The sequence below is a fragment of the Homo sapiens genome, chromosome 12 (assembly GCF_000001405.40).
Source record: "Homo sapiens chromosome 12, GRCh38.p14 Primary Assembly".
Lineage (NCBI taxonomy): Eukaryota > Metazoa > Chordata > Mammalia > Primates > Hominidae > Homo > Homo sapiens.
Window position 1 is genome coordinate 121,923,246 of NC_000012.12, and position 23,500 is coordinate 121,946,745.

Here is a 23,500-nt window from a genome sequence, read left to right on the forward strand (position 1 = left end):
CTCCCAGGCTCAAGCAATCCTCTCACCTCAGCCTCCTGAGTAGCTGGGGCTACAGGCATGTACCACCACGCCCAGCTAATTTTGTTCATTTTTGGTAGACATAAGGTGGCACTGTGTTGCCCAGGCTGGTCTTGAACTCCTGGGCTCAAGTGATCCTCCCCTCTTGGCCTCCCAAAGTGTTGGGATTACAGGGGTGAGCCATTATACCCCATCTTGTTTTGTTTTTTAAGTACAAAATGTTCCAGCCTCTTTTAAAAAACATTTCATAATTCCTAGGTGAGGCTAACACTAAGACTGGCTGACTGGGAATAGAAAAGGTGAATAAATGGTGAGTAGCAGCACATATGGAATCATGATATTTTATTTCTTTTTAAAGAAAACCCAAAGAGGTAGCAAGTCAAAGCTTTCCTTACAATTGGAGGATGCAGAAACAGATGAGCTTTTAAGAGACCTGAGCACACAAATTGAATTTCTTGATTTGGATCAAATCAGTCCTGAGGAACAACAGATTAGTTCCCCTGAAAGGCAGCCCTCAGGAGAGCTTGAGGAGAAAACCGACCGGATGCCCCAAGATGAACTGGGACAAGAAAGAAGGGACTTGGAGCCAGAAAACAGAGAGGAGGGACAAGAAAGGAGAGTATCCGACATCCAGTCCAAAGCAGGGATCTCCCGGGAGTCACTGGTGTCCAGCACCACAGAGGACATTCTGTTTCAAAAGGATAAAAGCACCCCGGTGTATCCCTTGGTAAGTGTAATGCTTTTAAATCTCCCCCAGTGCTTTTGAGAGTGTTGCGCAATAGGGGAATTTTATGCATGTTGGGGGAAAAAGAATACCACCAGAAGGATACTTTTTAAACTAATAATAGACTTGTGTTTTTTTTTTTAAGACAGTCTTGCTTTGTCGCCCAGGCTGGAGTGCAGTGGCACGATCTTGGCTCACTGCAGCCTCCACCTCCCAGGTTCAAGCAATTCTTGTGCCTCAGTCTCCCGAGTAGCTAGGATTACAGGCATGAGCCACCACGCCTGGCTAATTTTTGTATTTTTAGTAGAGATGGCGTCTCGCCACGCCATGTTGGCCAGGTTGGTCTTGAACTCCTGACCTCAGATCATCCACCTGCTTCGGTCTCCCAAAGTGCTGGGATTACAGGCGTGAGCCACCACGCCCGGCCTAGACTTGTGTCTTTTTTTTTTTTTTTTTTTTTTGGAGACACAGTTTCACTCTTTTTGCCCAGGCTGGAGTGCAATGGCACGATCTTGGCTCACTGCAACCTCCGCCTCCCGGGTTCAAGCGATTCTCCTGCCTCAGCCTCCCAAGTAGCTGGGATTACAGGCGCCTGCCACCATGCCTGGCTTTTTTTGTATTTTTAGTAGAGATGGGATTTCACCATGTTGGCCAGGGTGATCTCGATCTCTGGACCTCGTGATCCGCCCACCTCGGCCTCCCAAAGTGCTGGGATTACAGGCGTGAGCCACCACGCCCGGCCTAGACTTGTGTCTTTTAAAGTTCGGTTAAGAGCTCCGACTGGAACACGTGTGACTGAACATGAACTTGAGAGCGGCATCTGCGTTCAATGGTGTTGCTCAGCAGGCAGGAAATTCCAGACATAGTTTGTCTGTTGCATAGGGTGCTATTTCACGTGGGAGATCCAAACTCCATTCCGCCCCTTTCCCCAGCTTCCTCCTCCCCCTTTCCTTCCCGCTTCCTCTCCCTCTTCTTCCCTTCCCTCTTCTTCCCCTCCCCTCTCCTTTCCCTTTTCTCTCTTCCCTCCTGTCTCCTCTCCTTTTTTCTCTCACATTGTAAAACTCCTCCTTCATGCTGCCAATTCCACCCCTTCCCCTTCTTGCCTCACCTCTTCTGCCTTTATCTTTACATGACCCCAAAACCATCCATTCCAAGAGGGTCCCAGAGTGGAAGGTAATGGAGGAGTGAAAGCCGCAGTGAAAAGCCCCAGGCAGTCCAGAGGAATCTGCCTTTGCCACTGCTGAAAATATTCCAGGGAGGCACCATCTGCGAGGAGTAAAAATATTATCATTTACCAGGAGAAGGAAAAGGAGGAGTTTTTTCCTTCTTCCTCCATCTGCTACTTTCTGAAAATTGTTTCCTAGGATTCATCCTTCCTGTAGATTCATGCCTTTGGAAGATGTGGAAGCGATTGAATGGATATCAAATACTTAATGTAGTTCCTAAGACATAGTGAGTACTCAGTAAGTGTCCGCAACTGTGTGTCATGACGATGACGGTGGCAAGACGTCTGGAGGGAAATGCAGGCAACTGGAAACCTCCTTTCTGCATATGGGCTTCATTTGAGCCCCGTGTGACAGCCTCTCTCCCACAGCTTGCAACTGTTCACTCCGAGAGAAAGAATAATTGAGCTTTAGGGCTCACAAAGACTCTTGTCTTGTTTAGCCAGCAAACATAAATCAGGCAATGTCTCTAAGAAGGTGTATTCTTTGTGTCAGGGGCACAGCTATCTGGACTTGGCAAGAGCCACTCCCCCAAGTTTTGGGTCTCGCTTAGCCTTGGTCTCACTGCGGAACCAAAACGGCAGAACCAAAAATTTTCTAGACTGTCTTCCTTTACAAATTACTTTAGCTTTTATTTATTTATTTATTTTTTGAGGTGGAGTCTTGCTCTGTCACCTAGGCTGGAGTGCAGTGGCGTGATCTTGGATCACTGCAACCTCCACCTCCTGGGTTCAAGTGATTCTCCTGCCTCAGCCTCCCGAGTAGCTGGGACTACAGGCATGCACCACCACGCCCAGCTAATTTTTTGTAATTTTTTTTTTTTTTTTTTTTTTTTTAGTAGAGACGGAGTTTCACCGTGTTAGCCCGGATGGTCTTGATCTCCTGACCATGCAATCTGCCCGCCTAGGCCTCCCAGAGTGCTGGGATTACAGGCGTGAGCCACCATGCCCGGCCTTTTTTAAGAGACAGAGCCCTGCTGTGTTGCCCAGGCTGGACTAGAACTCAATCCTCCCACTTCAGCCTCCTGACATTTCTTTAGCTTATTGCATGTATCTTCTTTCTTCTTTCTTTTTCCTTCACTTTCTTTTTCTTTCTCTCTTTCTCCTTTATTATTTTTTTCTTTTTGTTTATTTTGAGACAGGCTCTCACTCTATCACCCAGACTGGAGTGCAGTGGTGCGATCATGGTTCACTGCAACCTCCGTCTCCTGGGTTCAATGGATCTTCCCACCTCAGCCTCCCCAGTATCTGGGACTACAGGTGTGTATCACCACACCCAGCTAATTTTAAAAATCTTTTTTAGAGATGGGGTCTCACTATGTCTCTCAGGCTGGCCTTGAACTCCTAAGCTCAAGCAATCCTCCCGCCTCGGCCTCCCAAAGTGTTGAGATTATAGGTGTGAGCTACCGTACCCGGCCTCAATTTTTTCTTTTTGTTAAAACTATTCAGTGTTGGCCGGGCGCGGTGGCTCACACCTGTAATCCCAGCACTTTGGGAGCCCAAGGTGGGTGGATCACCTGAGGTCAGGAGTTCAAGACCAGCCTGATCAACATGGTGAAACCCCTCTCCACTAAAAATACAAAATCAGCCGGGCGTGGTGGTGCATGCCTGTAATCCCAGCTACTTAGGAGACTGAGCCAGGAGAATCGCTTGAACCCAGGAAGGCAGAAGTTGCAGTGAGCCAAGATTGCGCCATTGCACTTCAGCCTGGGTAATAGAGTGAGACTCTGTTTCAAACAAACAAACAAACAAAAACTATTCAGGATTATTTGTAAAAAATTCAGACAACTTATACATGTTTGAAGGCAAAGATTCTTCTTCCTACACACACCCCCACCCAATCTCATTTCCCTATGTAATTCCTGCCACAGTTGGCTGTGACTGCTCCTCTCCTGACCTTGTTCTGTGCATGTACAACATGTTATCTGTGTGCCCATGCCTGTGCACATGGCTCACATTTAGTTTTTGTGTTGTTTAGGTTTTTTTTTTTTTTTACCGGTGAGATAATCCTGCATTTCTACAAAATGTTTTTCCACTTAATATGTCTTGGAAGGTTTCTTGTATCAGTGCATGTATCTCTACTTCCTCTTTTTGTTTTTCTTTTTTTGAGATGGAGTCTCACTCTCACCCAGGCTGGAGTGCAGTGGTGCTATCTTGGCTCTCTGCAACCTCTGCCTCCCTGGGTTCAAGTGATTCTCCTGCCTCAGCCTCTCATGTAGCTGGGATTATAGGCACGCACCACCATACCCAGCTAACTTTTGTATTTTTGTAGACACAGGGTTTCGCCATGTAGGCCAGGCTGGTCTCGAGCTCCTGACCTCAGGTGATCCACCCACCTCAGCCTCCCAAAGTGTTGGAATTTCAGGCATGAGCCACCGTGCCCAGCCCACTTCCTCTTTTTAAATGTAACTGTTCCCCTTTCTGTGGCCATTTAGGTTGCTTCTAATTTCTTGCTGTCACACAAGGTCCTACAGTGAACGTGCTCCTCCATCTCTCCTGTGTCCACAGCATCCTCCTTTTCCTTTGGGGTCCTCTCCTTAGTGCTAAGGCCTGTACTAGCTCCCATTGTTCACGGTAAATAGACATGACTGTGGATCCCACCTCCAGCTAGGAAACAAGGCAATCATGTATTTATGAGCAGGAATCTTATGAATATCAAATACAATGAAATCTGGTTTTGACAGCAAAGTTTTATTTTCCAGATTAATATGTTTTAGAAAAAGATTGATGTAAGCAGTGGCTATCTCCATAATCATCTGTCATGCATGTTAAAACTTCTGCAAAACACGATGATTAATACTATTTGATTTCCACAATTGTGAACGCTGCTCGAGTGGGGTTGTTCTGTTACCACTAAGTGAAGTCAGCCTCGTGGTGACCCGGGAAGAGCTGTTGTGGCTGAAGACAGGAGTCCTTTTAGGAATGCTTTCTTTTTGTCACTAATTTGTTAAATGGCAAAATAAATTTCCAGGAAGATGATCCTTTTAGGATTAGCAAGTTTCCAAAAGAACAATTTCATTTGAATAAATCAGCTTTTAAGAAACAGCCAAATATTAAATAATTCTGTTCCTAGAAGTTGCAGCTTGAGACAATTATGATTCCATAATTCTACCACTCACACCCACACAATAAGAGATCTAAATATAAATATAAATTATAGGGAATGAGCAGATGGAAACAGGAGAGGATGGGGAATTAAGAATGTAGGAGAGAGAAATTGGCCACATTACCTGCTATGTCTGTCTTGGGGAGAAACAATTTAATTTTATAAGTATTGTTCAAAGATAAGAAAGGAAACTTACCAGATTTTGTTTCTATATGCCAATTTAATTCACTGATTCTTAGCAACGCAACGCATCACTTTCAGCACTCTACTGCATTTGATTACTTGACCCTAGATAATTTTATGTATATGTGTATATATATACGTATATATATATATATATACGTATATATATACGTATATATATATATATATACGTATATATATATATATTTTTTTTTTGAGACAGGGTCTTGCTCTGTTGCTCAGGCTGCAGTGCAGCATGACGATCTCGGCTCACAGCAACCTCCACCTCCTAGGCTCAGTCAATCCTCCTGCTTCAGCCTCCTGAGTAGATGGGATTACAGGTGCACACCACCATGCCTGGCTAATTTTTGTATTTTTTTTAGAGATGGGGTTTCACTATGTTGCCCAGGCTGGTCTTGAACTCCTGGGATCAAGCAATCCACTCACCTCAGCCTCCCAAAGTTCTGGGATTACAGATGTGAGCCACTGCACCCTGCCTGGATTTTATTTTTGAGCAGTTTTAGGTTTATAGAAAAATTGAAGGCCGGGAGCAGTGGCTCATGCCTGTAATTCCAGCACTTTGGGAGACTGAGGCAGGCGGATCATGAGATTGAGAGACTGAGACCATCCTGGCCAACATGGTGAAACCCTGTCTCTACTAAAAATACAAAAATTATCTGGACATGGTGGTGCATGCCTGTAGTCCCAGCTACTCAGGAGGCTGAGGCAGGAGACTCTCTTGAACCCAGGAGGTGGAGGCTGCAGTGAGCCGAGATCATGCCACTGCACTGCAGCCTGGTGACAGAGCGAGACTCCATCTCAAAAAAAAAAAAAAAGAAAAAAGAAAAAAAAATTGAGCTGAATGTACTGTACACAGGGCGCCCACATATTCCTCTGCACATCCCTCCTCTTTTTCACAGTTTTCCCTTTTATTCACATCCTGGATGAGTGTGGTTCATCCGTTAGCACTGATGAGCCAATACTGGTACCTTATTATTAACCTAAGTCCATAGTGTATATTGGGGGTCATTCTGTGTGTCATGCTTATTATGGGCCTGGACAAATGTATCCTGACATGTACCCAGCATTCTAGTATCATACAAATAGATTCATGCCCTGAAACCCCCTGTCCTCCACCGATCCATCCCTCCCTTCCTCCCCTGAGCCCTGGCAACCACTGATCTTTTTTTTTTTTTTGAGACAGGGTCTTGCTCTGTTGCCCAGGCTGGAGTGCAATGGCGTGATCTCAGCTTGCTATAACCTCCGCCTCCTGGGTTCAAGCAATTCTCCTGGCTCAGCCTCCCAAGTAGCTGGGATTACAGGCATGCGCCACCACACCTGGCTAATTTTTGTATTTTCAGTAGAGATGGGGTTTCACCGTGTTGACCAGGCTGGTCTTGAACTCCTGACCTGAGATGATCCACCCGCCTCGGCCTCCCAAAGTGTTGGGATTACAGGCGTGAGCCACTGTGCCGGGCCACACTGATCTTTTTATTGTCTCCAAGTTTCACCTTTTCTAGAAAGTCATAGTTGGAATCATGTAATATGCAGTCTTTTCATATTGGCTTCATTCACTTACCAACACGCATGTAACTTTCCTCCATACCTTTTTGTGGCTTGTTAGCCCTTTTTTTTTCCTCGTTGAATAATATTGCATTGTCTGGATGTGCCACAGTTGGTTTATTCTTAATTTTTAAAAAATACTTTGAGCTGGGCGCCGTTGCCCACTGCTGTAATTCCAGCACTTTGGGAGGCCGAGGCAGGCGGATCATGAGGTCAAGAGATCAAGATTATCCTGGCCAACATGGTGAAACCCTGTTTCTACTAGAAATACAAAAAGTAGCTGGATGTGGTGGTGCATGCCTGTACTCCAAGCTACTCGGGAGGCTGAGGCAGGAGAATCACTTGAACCTGGGAGGCGGAGTGAACAGTGAGCTGAGATTGTGCCACTGCACTCCAGCCTGGCAACAGAGTGAGACTCTGTTCCCTCCTCCAAAAAAAACAAAAAAAACCCCAAAAAACTTTGAACACAAAACTAGTACATAAATAAACTAGTATTGAAGTAAAAGCAGTAGTCAGATTTATTGTACTTATAATTTTTCATTTCATAAAATTTTAATTTTGGGTTTATTCCAGGCAATACAGAATTTTTAATTCTTCTGAAGAGATTTTGTCTCTTCATCCTTTATCCTTCCAGTAGAAATAGTACATAGGGACCAAATACCCAGGCTGAATAATTAATTGCCTTTCTTTTTTTTTTTTTTTTTTGAGATGGAGTATCACTCTGTCATCCAGGCTGGAGTGCAGTGGCACGATCTTAGCTCACTGCAACCTCCGCCTCCCAGGTTCAAGTGATTCTCCAGCCTCAGCCTCCTGAGTAGCTGGGAGTAAAGGTGCGTGCCACCACGCCTGGCTAATTTTTGTGTTTTTAGTAGAGATGAGGTTTCACCATTTTGGCCAGGCTGGTCTAGAACCCTCAACCTCAGGTGATCCACCCACCTCAGCCTCCCAAAGTGCTGGGATTACAGGCATGAAACAGGGCTCCCAGCCTATTTGCCTTTCTTATAAAGTTACGTAATGACTTCATTGTAACTTGTCTACTCTACATGCTTTTAGAAAGTAAATGGAATTTCACAACGTTAGGTGCTCACTGTGTGTCTGGTATTGAACAAAGTTTAGGTCCTGGGGAGTGGAAGAAAAGGAAGTTATTTCTGTGTATTGTTGAAGACTTTCTTTTCTAATGGAGATATAATTAACATGCCATAAAATTCACCCTTTAAATTTTTTTTTAAATTGTGGTAAAATACACGGAACATTAACGTTGCCATCTTAACCTTTTTTTCTCACACTGTCGCCCGGGCTGGAGTGCGATGGCGCGATCTCGGCTCACTGCAACCTCCGCCTCCCGGGTTCAAGTGATTCTCCTGCCTCAGCCTCCCAAGTAGCTGGGATTACAGGCATGCATCACCACACCCAGCTATTTTTTGTATTTCTAATAGAGACAGGATTTCACCATGTTGGCCAGGTTGGTCTCGAACTCCCGACTTCAGGTAATCCACCCGCCTCAGCCTCCCAAAGTGCTGGGATTACAGGCATGAGCCACCACGCCTGGCTGAGGACTTTCTTAAAGTGGTTCCTCTTCACTGAACTGTTGATGTGAAATCCTTCCCCTCCGGCGAGTTCCTGGAGCCCCAGCTCTGGGCTGAACACGCTGTAATGTCTTGCTGGCTTTGCCCTTGTCTTCCAGACCATGACCTGGTCGTTTGGATGGAACAGTTCTCTTCCTGTTTACTATATTCGAGAGGAAAGGCAGAGAGTTCTTCTGTATGTTTGTGCTCACACTGCGATCATCTACAACGTGTTCAGGAACAATCAATACCACCTTCAGGTATGCAGGGATTTCCTTCCTACAGGTGGGGGAGTTGTCTTTAACGTGCGTGTGGTATTTTGTTTTGTATCTCAAGGGCTGACTTCATTCTATCACTGTCGTATTTTCCCACTCTCCTTGGAACTAAAAGCAAGCCTGTCTTTAGAAACACATGGTATTGTTTATTGTCTCTCTGTTTCTAATCAGAATCAACTTACAAAACAGCAGTTGATATTAATTTTATAGTGAGAATTTAAAACATCTGTATTTTTTACACTTCTGCAAAAATGTGGACAGCGTAGATCATATCTCCACAGATATAACACAAAGGGCAGCTATTCAGCAGGGTGCCGACCTCACGGACACTTACACACATCTCTAGTTTTCAAAGGGCTTTCATCTTATAACTGTACCGAGAAGTGGGTATTCATATATCCATTTTACAGAAGAAGAAACTGAGGCTCAGAGTGTTTTAAGTGACTTGCCCAAGACTGTACTAGTAAACAATGACTCTACATCTCCTGTCTTGAAAGTGTTAAGTAGGTCAGTTGTCCTTTTATCCCTCCCTCCTCTCAGCAGCTTTGCTCATTTTCACCCCTCTCTGAGCCTCCCCCATTTGTCCTTCATGCCTGCCCTCCTCACAGCACTCTGCCTCCTTTGTTCCTGATATTTGGGACCCACTTCATTTTCATCATTTACCTTTCCAAGCATCCTATTCCTTGGTGTCTGACTTTCCACTCGTTGGCCTGGTCAACTGTTCCACATCACCCTTTCAGTTGACGTGTGTTGTTACAGGAGTGTCCTTAGCTGATGCCTAGATCAAAAACACCACGAGGTATTTACCAAGGACCCAGTCAGTACTCAGTGTTGTGCCAGGGACTCAAGATGTCTGGGTGCAACTTAAGGAATTCACTCTCTAGAAGTCCAGAAATACGCAGGCAGAAATCAGCAGGCAGCTCCCCTTGGAGCTTCATTGAATGCATGGCACTGAACACAGTGGTGATGGCAGAGAGAGAAGGAGAGATTGCTGTGGGCAGGCTCAGATAGTCAGGGGAAGCAGGATGCGCAGATGGGCTGGGGTGGAAGGAGGCAGGAGTCCAGCCTCACTAGGGCCAGAGGGCTGGGAGTGGCCTTGACCATCCATTCGTTTCACAAATAGTTATAGCTGCTATGTTTCACAGTATAGGTCTGTAGTAATGAACAAAACAGATGTATTCCCTGCTCTCATGGAGCTTACAGTCTAGAACAGAGACAGATGTTAAACAAGTGAACACATAAATGATTACAAATTGTAACCAGTGCTTGAAAGGAGATGTGAAAACGCTCTAAGGGAGAAAAATCAGGGTAAGAGAAGACTTAACTTTAGATTGAGTGGGCAGGGATTGAAGAGGTGCTGTTTCTGCTGAGACCTGGAGGATGCGAATGAGCCAGCCAAAGACAGTCTGGGGGAGAACATTCCAAACAGAGGGAGCAACAAGTGTTCAGGCCTGTGTGTGGGGCCTGGAAAGAAGGCTGGTGTGGCTGCTGCACCATGAGGGAGACAGAGAAGGAAGGAGGGAAGAGGGGCCATTTCCCAGCAGGGAGTGCTGCCATTTGTGTTCCCAGAAGATTCCTCTCTTGTGTGCATAAAAGGATTGTAAGAAGATAAGAGTGGAAGCAGAGGCCGAGCATGGTGGCTCATGCCTGTAATTTCAGCACAGGCTGTGGCCAAGGAGGCTGAGGTGGGTATATCGCTTGAGCCCAGGAGTTTGAGGCCAGCCTGGGCAACATGGCAAGACCCTTGTCTCTACAAAAAATGTAAAAATTAGCTGGGCACGGTGGCATGTGCCTGTAGTCCCAGCTACTTGGGAGGCCGAGGTGGGAGAATTGCTTGAGCCCAGGAGATCGAGGCTGCAGTGAGCCAAGATTGTGTTGATGCACTCTAGTCTGGGTGACAGAGTGAGACCCTGCCTCAAACAAACAAAAAGAGTGGGAGTAGAGAGACCAGTGAGGAACTTTTTGCCCCAGAGCTGCTCAGAGCCCTGAAGTGAGCAGTGTTCTAGAGAGAAGAGGCCGGCAGCGTGACTCAGAGTGGCTGGGGGAGGGGAGGACCCAGATGCTTATCCTCCACTTGGGTTGGGAGTTGCCGCTTGCCTTCACCTCTAGGAGCCACTGTTCATGTAGGGAACTTATCTTTCAGGTGTTTGGAGGGAGAGGAAGTTTGAAAATCACCCACTAGGAAGTGGAGAAACACCCAGGAAGGCCAGCGGGAACAGAATTTCCAGCCAGATGAGCGTTGAAAGGAGCTCAGATCTTTCTGTGGGTCCCCGGCCTTTGCTGATAGTGGCCAAGGCTGGGCCGCATCTTGGATGTTTCAAAGCGTTTTCTCTCCATTTCCATAGGGCCACGCCAATATTATCTCCTGCCTCTGCGTCAGTGAAGACAGGCGGTGGATCGCCACAGCAGACAAAGGGCCAGACTGCCTGGTGATTATATGGGACTCCTTCACAGGGTAGGCTTTGTGTAGCCACTTCTTTTTTCCCTGAATTTCTGTAGAGTATCTGCCACTGTGTGACAGTGACAGAATGAGCAATGCCAATGCCTAGAAATTTGATTTGTTGGTGTTCCACAGTAGACTGGCTTATGCTGACTCACACTAACCTAGCTCACACAAGCTCAAAGCATAACCCAGATGGCAAATCTGTCATTTACAATGAGAAACATTACTTCTACAAGGACAGATTTTTTAGTGGCTGGTCATGCTGCCTCTTCTGGGCAGTTCTTAATGGTTGCTACCAAGTGTTCGTGTCTATCGCTGCTCCTCATTCCATACATTTCTTGTTGGATATGTTCGATTTCGATCTGTTTGCCTGCCATGGTTTTAGGTATAGTAATGATGGGAGGCTTTCCAAAGCTGCTGTTTCTCTGCAGTCTCTCTCTAATTCTAACAACCCACCATTGCCTCCTTTCTTTTATAGTACAGACAGGGTCTCGCTCCATTGCCCACGCTGGAGTGCGTTGGCGCAATCATAGCTCATTGCAGCCATGAACTCCCAGGATCAAGAGATTCTCCTGCCTTGGCCTCCTGAGTAGCTGGGACCACAGGCGCATGCAACCACACCTGGCTAACTTACTTTTGTAGAGAGGAAGTCTTGCCATGTTGCCCTGGCTGGTTTTGAACTCCTGGCTTCAAGAGATCCTCCCATCTTGGACTCTCAAAGCACTGGGATTATAGGCATGAGCCACCTTGCCTAGCCTCTTTTTAAATATTTTATTTTATTGTATTATATTTTTGTAGAGATGGGGTCTTGCTTTGTTTCCAGGCTGGTCTTGAACTCCTGGGCTCAAGCCATCCTCCTGCCTCGGCCTCCCAAAGTGCTGGGATTACAGGCATGAGCCACCGCATCCGATCTCTCTTTCTCTCTTTTTTAAATTAACAGACTTTTATTTTTAGAACAGTTTTAGATTTACAGAAGAATTGGGAAGATAGTACTGAGGATTCCCATAAACCCCACACCCAGGTTCCCACATTAGTTACATCTTACATTAGTAGGATCAATTTGCTGTAATTCATGAACCAATATTGACACATTATTATTAACAGACATCCAGGATCCCACCCAGGAGACCACATTCGATTTAGCTGTGATGGCTCCTTAGGCTCTGCACGGCTATGGCCGTTTCTTAGACTTTCCTTGTTTTTGATGACTGACAGTTTTAAGGAGTACAGGTCAGGGATTTGGTAGGGTCTCCATCTATTGCACTGTGTCTGATGGTTTTCTCGTGATAAGCCTACCAGCCTTTTGACACACTCTGGTGTCTAAGAAATGAGTTGCAGTGACCTTCTTAACCTGGGGGTAAAAGGCAGGCTCACTTCGATCAAGCGTCAGATAAACCAGTCCAGGTGGTGAGGGGAGGTTGACAGCCCACGGACTCTCTGGCACTGGAGCTGGGTCCGGAAGGCCGGGGTTGTGTTCCCTCCTTGTATCTGCTTCTGTAACTCACTCTCCTCCTTCCCCGGCTGGAGGCAGACTGAATGGAGAGTCTCTCTGGTATCAAGGTTGTCATCCGGTATTGCCTTTCTTCCTAACTCATCAAATTCACCTTTTCTGGTCCCTTTTCTGATAGTGCATCCAACAAGGAAAGGTGGAATTTCCGTGGGCTTGGGCAGTGCTGCTCAAAGTGTGGTCTGCAGGCTGAGCTCATCTGTCAGCTGGTCCTGGGCTATGCTGAACAGAAAGTACAGAAAATGAGAGGGGGCCTTTGGGAACTTGTATAGCAATTTGTTCTTGCTATGGTATTTTTATTTTGTGAAAGTGTTTGACCTGGGCTGGGTGCAGTGGCTCATGCACTTTGGGAGCCTCCCAGCACTTTGGGAGGCTGAGGCAGGAGGATCACTTGAGGCCAGGAGTGGGCAACATAGTGAGACTCTGTCTCTACAAAAAATTAAAAGTTAGCCACATGTGGTGGTGCATGCCTGTAGTCCCAGCTACGCGGGAGGCTGAGGCGGGAAGATGGCTTGAGCTTAGGTGTTTGAGGCTGCAGTGAGCCATGATCGTGCCATTGCACTCCTGCCAGGGCGACAGAGCAAAACCCTGTCTCAAGGAAAAAAATATTTATTGGTCTGCAAAGGAATAAAGTTTTTAAAAATATCTTTCACCACAGATAGTTTGCAAAGTGCTGGGCAAGATGATGCCTAGGCAGTTGGGGGATACTGTGGGGCTGAACACGCCACCTTGTGTGACAGCCGTCAAGCAGGAGGCAGTCTTATCTGCCGAGGACATTGGGAATGGGGCTGCTAGTTTGGGCTGTGGGATGTGACATGCTGTAATCAATGAGAATGCAGTAGAGGTCCACCAAATGAAGGGAAGGAGCTGTAGGGTTTCAGGGAGGGGCCTGGTTGGGGACAAAAAGCATGAGCCTGCAGCAGATGGTGGGTGGGTGGTGATGCTTGTCCAGCCGTGCTGGGCAGGGTGGGAATAAGAACAGGGAATGTGACTGGTGGTGGCTTGCCTGGGTAGGATAATTGGAAGGGGAGAAGGGAAGGGGCCCAGGGGAATTCAGAGTGACATGAAAGAGCAGGTGGCAGGAGGCAGGTGTGAGTGTGGGCTCTGGCGTCCACCTGGGCTTCCATGCCCGGTCAGCCGTGGTCTGCTGTGTGACTTGGAGGCCCAGAGAAGAAAGTGACTTTCCCATTTGTGAAAAAAGAATAATGACATCTACTGTTTTTTACTTTCCTTGGGCTGCTGTAACAAATTACCTCAAACGATTTACTCTCTTGCAGTTCTGGAGGCCAGAAGTCTGAAACCAAGGTGTCGGCAGGGTTGGCTGCTTCTGGGGGCTGTGAGGGAGAATCTGTCCCAGGCCTCTCCCCTTGCTTCTGCTGGCTGCGGGTGACCCTTGGTGTCTTTGGCTTGTGGACGCATCCCTCCAATCTCTGCCGCCATCTTCCCATGACATTCCCACCATGCATCCATCTGTGTCTTCTTGAGGACACTGGGCATTAGATTTGGGGCCCACCCCAGTCCAGCACAACCTCATCTTAACTAACTATGTCCACAAAGGACCTGTGTCCAAATAAGGTCATATTCTGAGGTTCTGGGTGGGCCTGAGTTTGGAGGGACCACTTAGCCCATTAAACCCAATGCACAGGATGTTGTGAGGATCACTAGAGCGCAGCACCAGGCCATGATAGAGGATCCTAGATGGGTTTTCTTTCTTAACTCCTGGCCTGAGGCAGAGAGCAGTCAGATTTCACTGACAAGATTGTTAGGGCCTGGTTGGGTAGGTGGGTGGGGAGGGAAGAGTTCAACAAGTGAGTCCAGATGCACGAGGAGGTTAGGAAGAAGTTACGTTGAATGTTCTAGAGTGGGGGACACAGGAACTGCTCTCCCACAGGTGACCAGTGACCTCCAGGGGATCTCATTACCCAACCCTGATCCTCATCTGACTTGACTTCTCTGTGGCATCTAACACTTCATTTCCTGTGGCTTCTCTGATCTCACATCCCTACAATACATGGCCTTTGTGTCTGGCTTCTTTCACTTAGCATCGTGCTTGAAGGTTCATCCGTGGTGTGGCACGTGTCCTTTCTATGGCGGAATCACAGTACATTGTATGGATAGATCAAACAATGTATAGTCTTTCATCTGGTTTTTTGTTTTGTTTTTGTTTTTGTGAGACAGGGTCTCACTCTATCACCCAGGCGGGAGTGCAGTGGTGTGATCATGGCTCACTGCAGCCTTGGCCTCCGAGGCTCAAGTGATCCTCCCACCTCAGCTTCCTGAGTAGTTGGGACCATGGATACATGCCACTGAGCCTGGCTAATTTTTTTTTTTTTCTGGTAGAGACAGGGTCCTGCTATGTTGCCCAAGCTGGTCTCGAACTCCTAGGCACAAGTGATCCGTCTGCCTTGGCCTCCCGAAGTACTGGGATTACAACTGTAAGCCACTGTGCCCAGCCTCATCTGTTGTTGTTGTTGTTGTTGTTATTTTTGAGACAGGGTCTCGCTCTGTTGCCCAGGCTAGAGTGCAGTGGCACAATCTCAGCTCACTGCAACTTCTATCTCCTGGGCTCAGATGATCCTCCCATCTCAGCCTCCCAAGTAGCTGGGACCACAGGTGTACACCACCACACCCAGCTAATTTTTTTGTATTTTTTTTTTTAATAGATACAGGGTTTCACCATGTTACTCAGGCTGGTCTCGAATTCCTGGGCTCAAGTGATCCACCTGACTCAGCCTCCCAAAGTGCTGGGATTACAGGCGTGAGCCACCATGCCCGGCTCATCTGTTTAATTTGTAAAAAAATGATTTTAGTACATTTTAATAGAAAACTCTTAAATTTAATGAAAACCAGGCCGGGCATGGTGGCTCATGCCTGTAATCCCAGCACTTTGGGAGGCCGAGGCGGGTGGATCACTTGAGGTCAGGCATTCGAGACCAGCCTGGCCAACATGGTGAAACCCCGTCTCTACAAAAATACAAAATACAAAAAATTAGTCGGGCATAATGGTGCACTCCTGTAATCCCACCTACTCAGAAGGCTGAGACAGAATCGCTTGAACCCAGGCGGCGGAGGTTGCAGTGAGCTGAGATCGTGCCATTGCACTCCAATCTGGGCGACAGAGCGAGAATTCATCTAAAAAAAAAAAAATTAATGAAAACTGATACATTTTCATGGAAAGCACTGGCTGCCATCTCCGATCTTAGTCTTCTTTCTAGAGGTAATCAATTTGGTGTGTTTCCTTCCAAAACATTTGCTTTTGTTTTGAACACACGTATATGGATATCTTCATGTAGCTTGTCTCCACAACATTGTTGGTGTGATGTTTTCCCAGACAAATCTGATTGTGTTGCCACCCTGATTAAAACCCTTTAGAGACTGTCCATTGTCAAATCAACTTATGCTACAGGGGACACGCACCCTGCATTAGGGCCCTGCAGACACTTCCCCCAGAAAGTGAAATGCCCGCTGCCTGCACCCATAGCCGTCTGTGGCTGCTACACGCTCTCAGCTGCAAGTACTGGCACATCCAACTTAACCACAAGGGAAGGGTATTATCTCATGCAGTAGAAGCCTGCAGTCGGCCGGCAGAAGGGTCAGAGTCCTTCAGGTGTGTCTCATCTCTGAAGCCTTTGCTGACCAACACCTTCACCAGACAGAGCTGCCCCGTTATGATGTGGAGCCACTGTTTTTTCCTTATTTGTGAAACTCTCTCTCTACTAGACATGAAGCAACTTGAGGGCAGTGATTTTTTTTAAAAAATTTCACAGTAAAGCATATCTGTGGTTAATAATGCAAATGCTATGTTAATATGAATTTTATGATATCCCAAGTGATTACTTTGGGACCCAGAAAAGATTATTCAGAGGCTGTTTTGGTTTTAGGATTAATATTCATTTTATTAGTGATAAATTAAAAACCGTAGTTCTTCCTCCAGTTTTTCGCTCAGCTTAAAAATCTTACTCTGTTTATAAATCTAGCATATTTTTGCAATCACCTTTGAAGAGGCTTTGATTAATGTTTGGCCCCACTTACAAATTTGGTTATTAACTCCTTTTAAACATGTAAAACTGCATTTCAATATTTAAGAGATTTAGTTTCTTTACGTTTTTTAGTAGTCTGATTAACAAACAAATCCTTCATGGTACTTAAGTAATTACTGCAAATCTAGTAAATTAGACATAAATATGGTAAATCTTAAGTTTCCTTAAGTGTTCTAATATTGTTTATAAACCTATTACGATTTTAATTTAAAATCACAAGTCTAAATCAACTATATATTTTAAATTAGCATCACAAATCTAATCTGTTAGCAACTCTGGTATGTCAAATTCACTTAAACATTACAAATTCCTAAAAAATGAACAAATTCTCTTATCACAAATATGTTAATAATGCAGGTCTGACTGACTTCATCTTCTCTATATTCAATTCCAAGTATCTCCAGGGATGAGATACATTTTCTCACTAAGGACTTCACTGTGTTATTTCCAATCATTTTGGAATTGCCTTCCCAGGTGAATTTCTGGGGCTACTTCTCAGTAGGATGAAGTTTCTCCAGTGACAGAGAACCAGAGAAGTCCTCAGCTGGGACACAGACTTGATACCAGCCAGTTGGGACCCTAGCGTGACATACAGAGATGCTGAGGCCTGTTTATCTTCACTGTATCTAGGACTCCATAAACAAACAAACAAACAAACAAAAAAGAACCATGTGACCCGCATTCCTGGTTTAAGTCTTGCTACCACCTACTTTTCATTCCAGTGGGAATCAGCAGACCTCCCCCAACCCAACCATTACAGCTTCCATCTTCGCTTCCACTGCTTCTGTGCTTTGGCTGTCTTAGATACTTGCATGTCATCTAATTCTGGGTATTTCAAGGCTGTGTTGGAATCATACAGCTCTAAGGTCTTGTCAGTAACACAGTATGGAAATGTAAGAGCAAAAAATAAAAGTTCCTCCTCACCCAAACCCCATCTTCAGAGGAACCATTGCTTACAGTTTGGAGTCTATTCCTCCAGAGTTTTTTCAATACATACACACGCACACACACACACATGATTAGGATGATGCGATTGTTTTGCAGTGTGCTTTTTTCACAAATTTTGGTCACTTTCCCAATCTACCTCATTCTTTTTGAAGGCAGCAAAGTTTTTATTTTTATTTCTATTTTTTATTTTTATGTCTTTATTTTTTTTTGAGATGGAGTTTCACTTTTGTTCCCCGGCTGGAGTGCAATGGTGTAATCTTGGCTCACTGCAAACTCCGCCTCCTGGGTTCAAGTGATTCTCCTACCTCAGCTTCCCGAGTAGCTGGGATTATAGGTGCCTACCACCACACCTGGCTAATTTTTTGTATTTTTAGTAGAGACGGGGTTTCACCATGTTGGCCAGGCTGGTCTCGAACTCCTGACCTCAGGTGATCCACCTGCCTTGGCCTCCCAAAGTGCTGGAATTACAGGTGTGAGCCACCATGCTGGCCTTTTTTTTTTTTTTTTTTTTTGAGGCAAGATCTTGCTTTATCACCCAGGCTGGAGTGCGGTGGCGTGATCTTGGCTCACTGCAGCCTCAACCTCCTGGACTCAAGCGATACTCCCACCTCAGCCTCCCAAGTAGTTGGGCCCACAGGCACGTGCCACCACACCTGGCTAATTTTTCTATTTTTGGTAGAGATAGGGTTTTGCCATGTTGTCCAGGCTGATCTTGAACTCCTTAGCTCAAGCAATCCACCCTCCTCAGCCTCCCAAAGTGCTGGGATTACCAGTATGCAGCACTGTGCCCAGCCTAGTTTCTTATCATATGGTTATGCTATAATATCTTTTTAAATAATTCATGTATGGTATATTAAGGGACATTTGTGTTGTTTGATTTTTGCTATTAGAGCAGTACCATGATGACTGTGAATTTTCATTGACCTTTGTTTACTTTTTCCATGATTTCCCTAGGAAAAAGTCGTAAGGGTGGAGTTACTGGGCTGTAGGGTGTATGCATTGAAGGTTTTGATAGATACAGCCAAACTGCTTCTAGAAAAGTGCTGCTCCTTTGCATTCCCACCTGTGTAGGAGAGTGCCCGATTCCCTGAGAGCTGGGACGTTGTCCTAGTCATCTTTTCATATTTACATCCTTCCTGCCAGGCACAACCTGGCACAGAATCAGTGCCTGGTACCTAGTGAATGAGAACCTAGAGCTTGTGAAGAGGGCAAACAGCAGGCCCATTGCCTTGAGTTAGGCTTGACTATTATTGTTGTTGAGGTTAAATTCGCATAACATAAAACTGACCATTTTAAAGCATACGGTTCGGTGACATTTAATACATTTACACTCTTATGCAACCATCATCTCTATCCAGTTCCAAAACATTTTCACCGCCCCAGAAGGACACCCTGCATCCATTATCTGTCTCTGTGGGTTTGCCTATTCCGGCCGTTTCATATGAGTGGACTCATACACCACACGCCTTTCGTGCCTGGCTTCTTTCACTCAGCATCGCTTCCGACGCTCATCCATGTCATAGCATGCATCAGTGCTTCATTCCCTTTTATGACTCAGAAAGATTCCACTGTATGGATAGACCACATTTTGTTCTGTTTTGGAGAGGTTTGGGCTGAGCTCAGACCTGCCCTGGGACTCTCTGGGAAGCCAGGGAGACCTCAGCAAGTGTCGCCCCCCTTGTCCTGTTTTGCAGTATTCCTGTGCACACAATATTTGACAGCTGCCCTGAAGGGAATGGCATCATGGCCATGGCCATGACCCACGACGCCAAGTATCTGGCAACCATCTCAGATGCTGAAGTCCAGGTAAAGGCCCTGGCCCTTTGGGTCAGCATCAGCGAGCTGGCCGACCTGTGCAGCGTGTCCCCATGGGCAGCTCTGTTCAGGCTGGGCTGTGTGATGTCTGTGATATTCTCAAAAGACCAGACTCCACAGCACAGAGTCTGGGCCTCTGTCCTTAGTTACTTGAAGTTTTGGGGTCACCACAAGAGGTGTAAGTTACTTCAGCAGACTTCACAGACCTTCTCATGCCCCTCTCTCTACTGTCACCTACAGAAGGTATGCATCTGGAAGTGGACTTTGGCAGTGGAAACGCCAGCATGCACTCTCGAACTCCCCACAGAGTACGGTGTTCAGGTGAGTTCAGTTGGAGCCTGTAAACATCAACCTGAAGTTATACAGGTGCAAGGCCAGGCTGGGCGTGGTGGCTCACACCTGTAATCCCAGAACTTTGGGAGGCTGAGGTAGGTTATCACTTGAGGTCAGGAGTTCAAGGCCAGCCTGGCCAACACAGTGAAACCCTGTCTCTACTAAAAATACAAAAATTCCCTGGGTGTGGTGGCACATGCCTATAGTCCCAGCTACTTGGAAGACTGAGGCATGAGAATTTCTTGAACCTGGGAGGCAGAGGTTGCAGTGAGCCGAGACTGCGCCACTGCACTCCAGCCTCGGTGACAAAGTGAGACTCTGTCTCAAAAAAACAAAAACAAAGTTCTACAAATGCCAGGCCAAAACCTACTTTTTGTTTCAGTAGAGTTGTGTTATGTTGCAGTAGAGTGTTTTTGTTTGTTTGTTTTGTTTTTGTTTTTGTTTTGAGACAGAGTTTCGCTCTTGTTGCCCAGGCTGGAGTCTGGAGTGCAATGGCACGATCTCGGCTCAACACAACCTCTGCCTCCCAGGTTCAAGCGATTCTCCTGCCTCAGCCTCCCGAGTAGCTGGGATTACAGGCACGTGCCACCACGCCTGGCTAATTTTGTATTTTTTTTAGTAGAGACGGGTTTTCTCCATGTTGGTCAGGCTGGTCTTGAACTCCCGACCTCAGGTGATCTCCCCACCTTGTCCTCCCAAAATGTTGGGATTACAGGCATGAGCCACTGCACCTGGCCTCAGTAGAGCTTTTAAAACCCTTTCATTTCCTGATCTTGTTTTACTTGAATATAATAGCTAATATTTTTGAAGCACTTATGTTCCAGAGTCTGCTAAATTCTTTACTTACATTATCTCACATAATCCATGCAAACATGCTAGCAAAAAAGATATTAATATCTGTGGAATACTACCATTAATTATTAAATAATTTGTCTAAAATCACCCACCTGGCAGTCTTTCTTATTCTAGAAGTGTGCTCTTAACTACTTCAAACCTTGTAAAACTAACTCTGAGGAGTATAGGGAAGTTATCATTATTGCTCCCAACTTGCATGAGGTGACTTGCCAAGGACACCCAGAAAGTTTCTATCAGGTCTCCTTATTTCCTGAGTCACTGCTCCCTGCTTTTGTGACTTGTCTCATTCATCCTTGCATGCTTCATTTGTCATACATTTATTGAGTACCTGTTCTGTGCCAGGCACTGTGGTAAGTACATGCCTGACTTGCAGGATCTAAAATCCAAACAGAGGGTTTGGGTGACTAGACTCAGCCAGGGAAATATGGTTATGCAGCCATATGTCCATCTTCTTTCCTTTCCCCCCAACATTCCTCTTGCTCCTAAAAAATTTTTTCTTTCTCCTTAAGGTTGTGTTAACACAGTAGCCACCAACCATATGTGGCTATTTAGGATGGATTTTTCTATTGCTGCAAAAAACACCATTGGGGTTTTGATAGCGATAGTGTTGAATCTGTAGATCACTTTGGATGGTATCATCATTTTCACAGTGTTGTCTTCCAATCCATGAGCATGGGATGCCTTGCCGTTTATTTATGTCTTCTTTAATTTCTTTCAGGGGTGTTTTGTAATTTCCAGAGTTCAAGTCTTCACCTCCGGTTAAATTTATTCCTAAGGATTTTGTGGTTTTTTGATGCTATTATAAATGGATTTGTTTTCTTAATTTCTGTTTTAGATTGTTCATTGCTAGTGTATAAAAAGGCAGCTAATTTTTGTGTGTTGATTTTGTACCTTGCAACCTTGCTGAGTACACATGGTGATTTAAATTTAAAATGATTAAAATGAAAAAAAATCTTTTTTGAGACAGGGTCTCACTGCTGTCCAGTCTGGAGAGCAGTGGCGCGATCTCAGCTCACTGCAGCCTCTGCCTCCTGAGCTCAAGCAGTCCTCCTACCTTAGCCTCCTGAGTAGCTGGGACTACAGGTGCACACTATCATGCCCAGCTAATTTTTTAATTTTTTTCAGAGACAGAGTTTTGCCATGTTGGTCAGGCTGGTCTCCAACTCCTAGGCTCAAGCCATCCACCCGCCTCAGCCTCCCAAAGTGTTGGGATTACAGGCGTGAGCCACCACACCTGGCCCTCTTCTTCTTTTTGCTATGCTTTCTTCTTGGGTATTGTCATCTATTCCCAAGGCCATTTACTTCCAAGACATATCCTGAAATCTTTCCTCTCCTTTCCACCTCTGTTGCTACCATCCTAGTCCAGGCCACAGTCACCTCTACCTGCATTATCTGGCCCGCTGGTCTCTCTGTGTTCACTCTCGCTTCACTCTCTAACAGTCTTCCCACAGCAGTCAGACTGTTTTTTTTGTTGTTGTTGTTTTGTTTTCTTTTCTTTTCTTTTCTTTTCTTTTTTTTTGAGATGGAGTCTCATTCTGTTGCCCAGGCTGGAGTGCGGTGGCACGATCTCGGCTCACTGCAACCTCTGCCTCCTGGGTTCAAGCGATTCTCCTGCCTCAACCTCCTGGGTAGCTGGGACTACAGGCACGTGCCACCATGCCTGGCTAATTTTTTGTATTTTTAGTACAGATGGGGTTTCACCATGTTAGCCAGGATGGTCTCCATCTCCTGACCTCATGATCCGCCCGCCTTGGCCTCCCAAAGTGCTGGGATTACAGGTATAAGCCACCGTGCCCGGCCAGAGTGTTATTTTTATTTTTCATTTTTATTTATTTATTTTTGAGACAGAGTCTTGCTCTGTCACCTAGGCTGGAGTGCAGTGGCGCAATCTTGGCTCACCGCAAGCTTTGCCTCCTGGGTTCACGCCATTCTCCTGCCTCAACCACCTGAGTAGCTGGGACTACAGGCGCCCACCACCACGCCTGGCTAATTTTTTTGTATTTTTAATAGAGACGGAGTTTCACCGTGTTAGCCAGGATGGTCTCAATCTCCTGACCTTGTGATCTGTCTGCCTTGGCCTCCCAAAGTGCTGAGATTACAGGCGTGAGCCACCATGCCTGGCCATATTTTTAAATAATTAAAATATTACATCACTCCTGTACTTAAAATCCTTCAGTAACTTCTCATTGTCCTCAGAATAACATTAAAATTCCATGACATGTGGCCTCCAAGGTGTGATCTGATCCCTCCATCCATCTCCTAATGTCTACCATCCTGATTATTGTTTATCAGTTTGCATTTTCCAGAATTTCATGTACAATAAATGGACTCTGTTTGCAGAGAGCTTTGGTTTCTTCCACTCAGTTTTGTTGTTGCACGTATCAGTAGTGTATTCCTTTTTATTGTTGAATAGTAGTGCATTGAATAGGTGTGTAACTGTTTATTAATTCACTGTTAATGGACATTGGGTTGTTTCCTGGTTGTGGCTATTGAAAATAAAGCTGCTGTGAATGTTCATGGACAAGTCTTTATTTTTGAAGGAGATTTTCCTGTGGTATAGAATTCTAGAGTGGTAGTATTTTCTTTCAGCAGTTCATATCTTCAAGGATGTGATTCTGTTGTCTTCTGGTTTCTACCATTTCTGTTGAAAAGTCAGCTGTCGATCCCTATTTTGAATGTTGTGTGTCTCTCTCCTTGGCCCCCAGCTGATTTTACAGATTTTTCCCTTGGTTTTCAGCAGGGTTTTTGTTTTGTTTTGTTTTGTTCTGTTTTTGAGACAGGGTCTCACTCCATCACCTAGGCTGAAGTGCAGTGGCACAGTCACTGCTCATTGCAGCCTTGACCTCTTAGGCTCAAGTGATTTTCCCACCTCAGCCTCCCAGGTGGCACCATCACACCTGGCT

The 23,500-nt window shown here is 45.6% G+C and overlaps 1 protein-coding gene across 2 annotated transcripts in view, besides 3 other annotated features; it reads left to right on the forward strand.

Annotated features, from left to right (window-relative positions):
- The window catches only part of CFAP251 (cilia and flagella associated protein 251), an 85,328-nt gene that overhangs the window by 4,654 nt on the left and 57,174 nt on the right, over nt 1–23,500 (forward strand). For both annotated transcript variants that reach the window (NM_144668.6, NM_001178003.2), the window contains exons 3-7: nt 377–745; nt 8,501–8,641; nt 11,002–11,111; nt 19,289–19,400; nt 19,650–19,730. In NM_144668.6, the coding sequence (NP_653269.3) occupies nt 377–745; nt 8,501–8,641; nt 11,002–11,111; nt 19,289–19,400; nt 19,650–19,730 (813 nt within the window). The remainder of the gene's footprint in view (nt 1–376; nt 746–8,500; nt 8,642–11,001; nt 11,112–19,288; nt 19,401–19,649; nt 19,731–23,500) is intronic.
- Nucleotides 1,237–1,915: an enhancer, noted in NCBI's record as "H3K27ac hESC enhancer chr12:122362388-122363066 (GRCh37/hg19 assembly coordinates)". NCBI's record gives its function as "activates a minimal SCP1, AML or CMV promoter by ChIP-STARR-seq in primed H9 embryonic stem cells {active_cell/tissue: H9 hESC(primed)}" and the evidence as "EXISTENCE:reporter gene assay evidence [ECO:0000049][PMID:30033119]".
- Nucleotides 1,478–1,772: an enhancer, noted in NCBI's record as "tiled regions #2985 and #8376 (exact overlaps); HepG2 Activating DNase matched - State 8:EnhW". NCBI's record gives its function as "activates a minimal TATA promoter and a strong SV40 promoter by Sharpr-MPRA in HepG2 cells {active_cell/tissue: HepG2}" and the evidence as "EXISTENCE:reporter gene assay evidence [ECO:0000049][PMID:27701403]".
- Nucleotides 4,135–4,254: a silencer, noted in NCBI's record as "silent region_5002". NCBI's record gives its function as "represses an Ori minimal core promoter by ATAC-STARR-seq in GM12878 lymphoblastoid cells {active_cell/tissue: GM12878}" and the evidence as "EXISTENCE:reporter gene assay evidence [ECO:0000049][PMID:35858748]".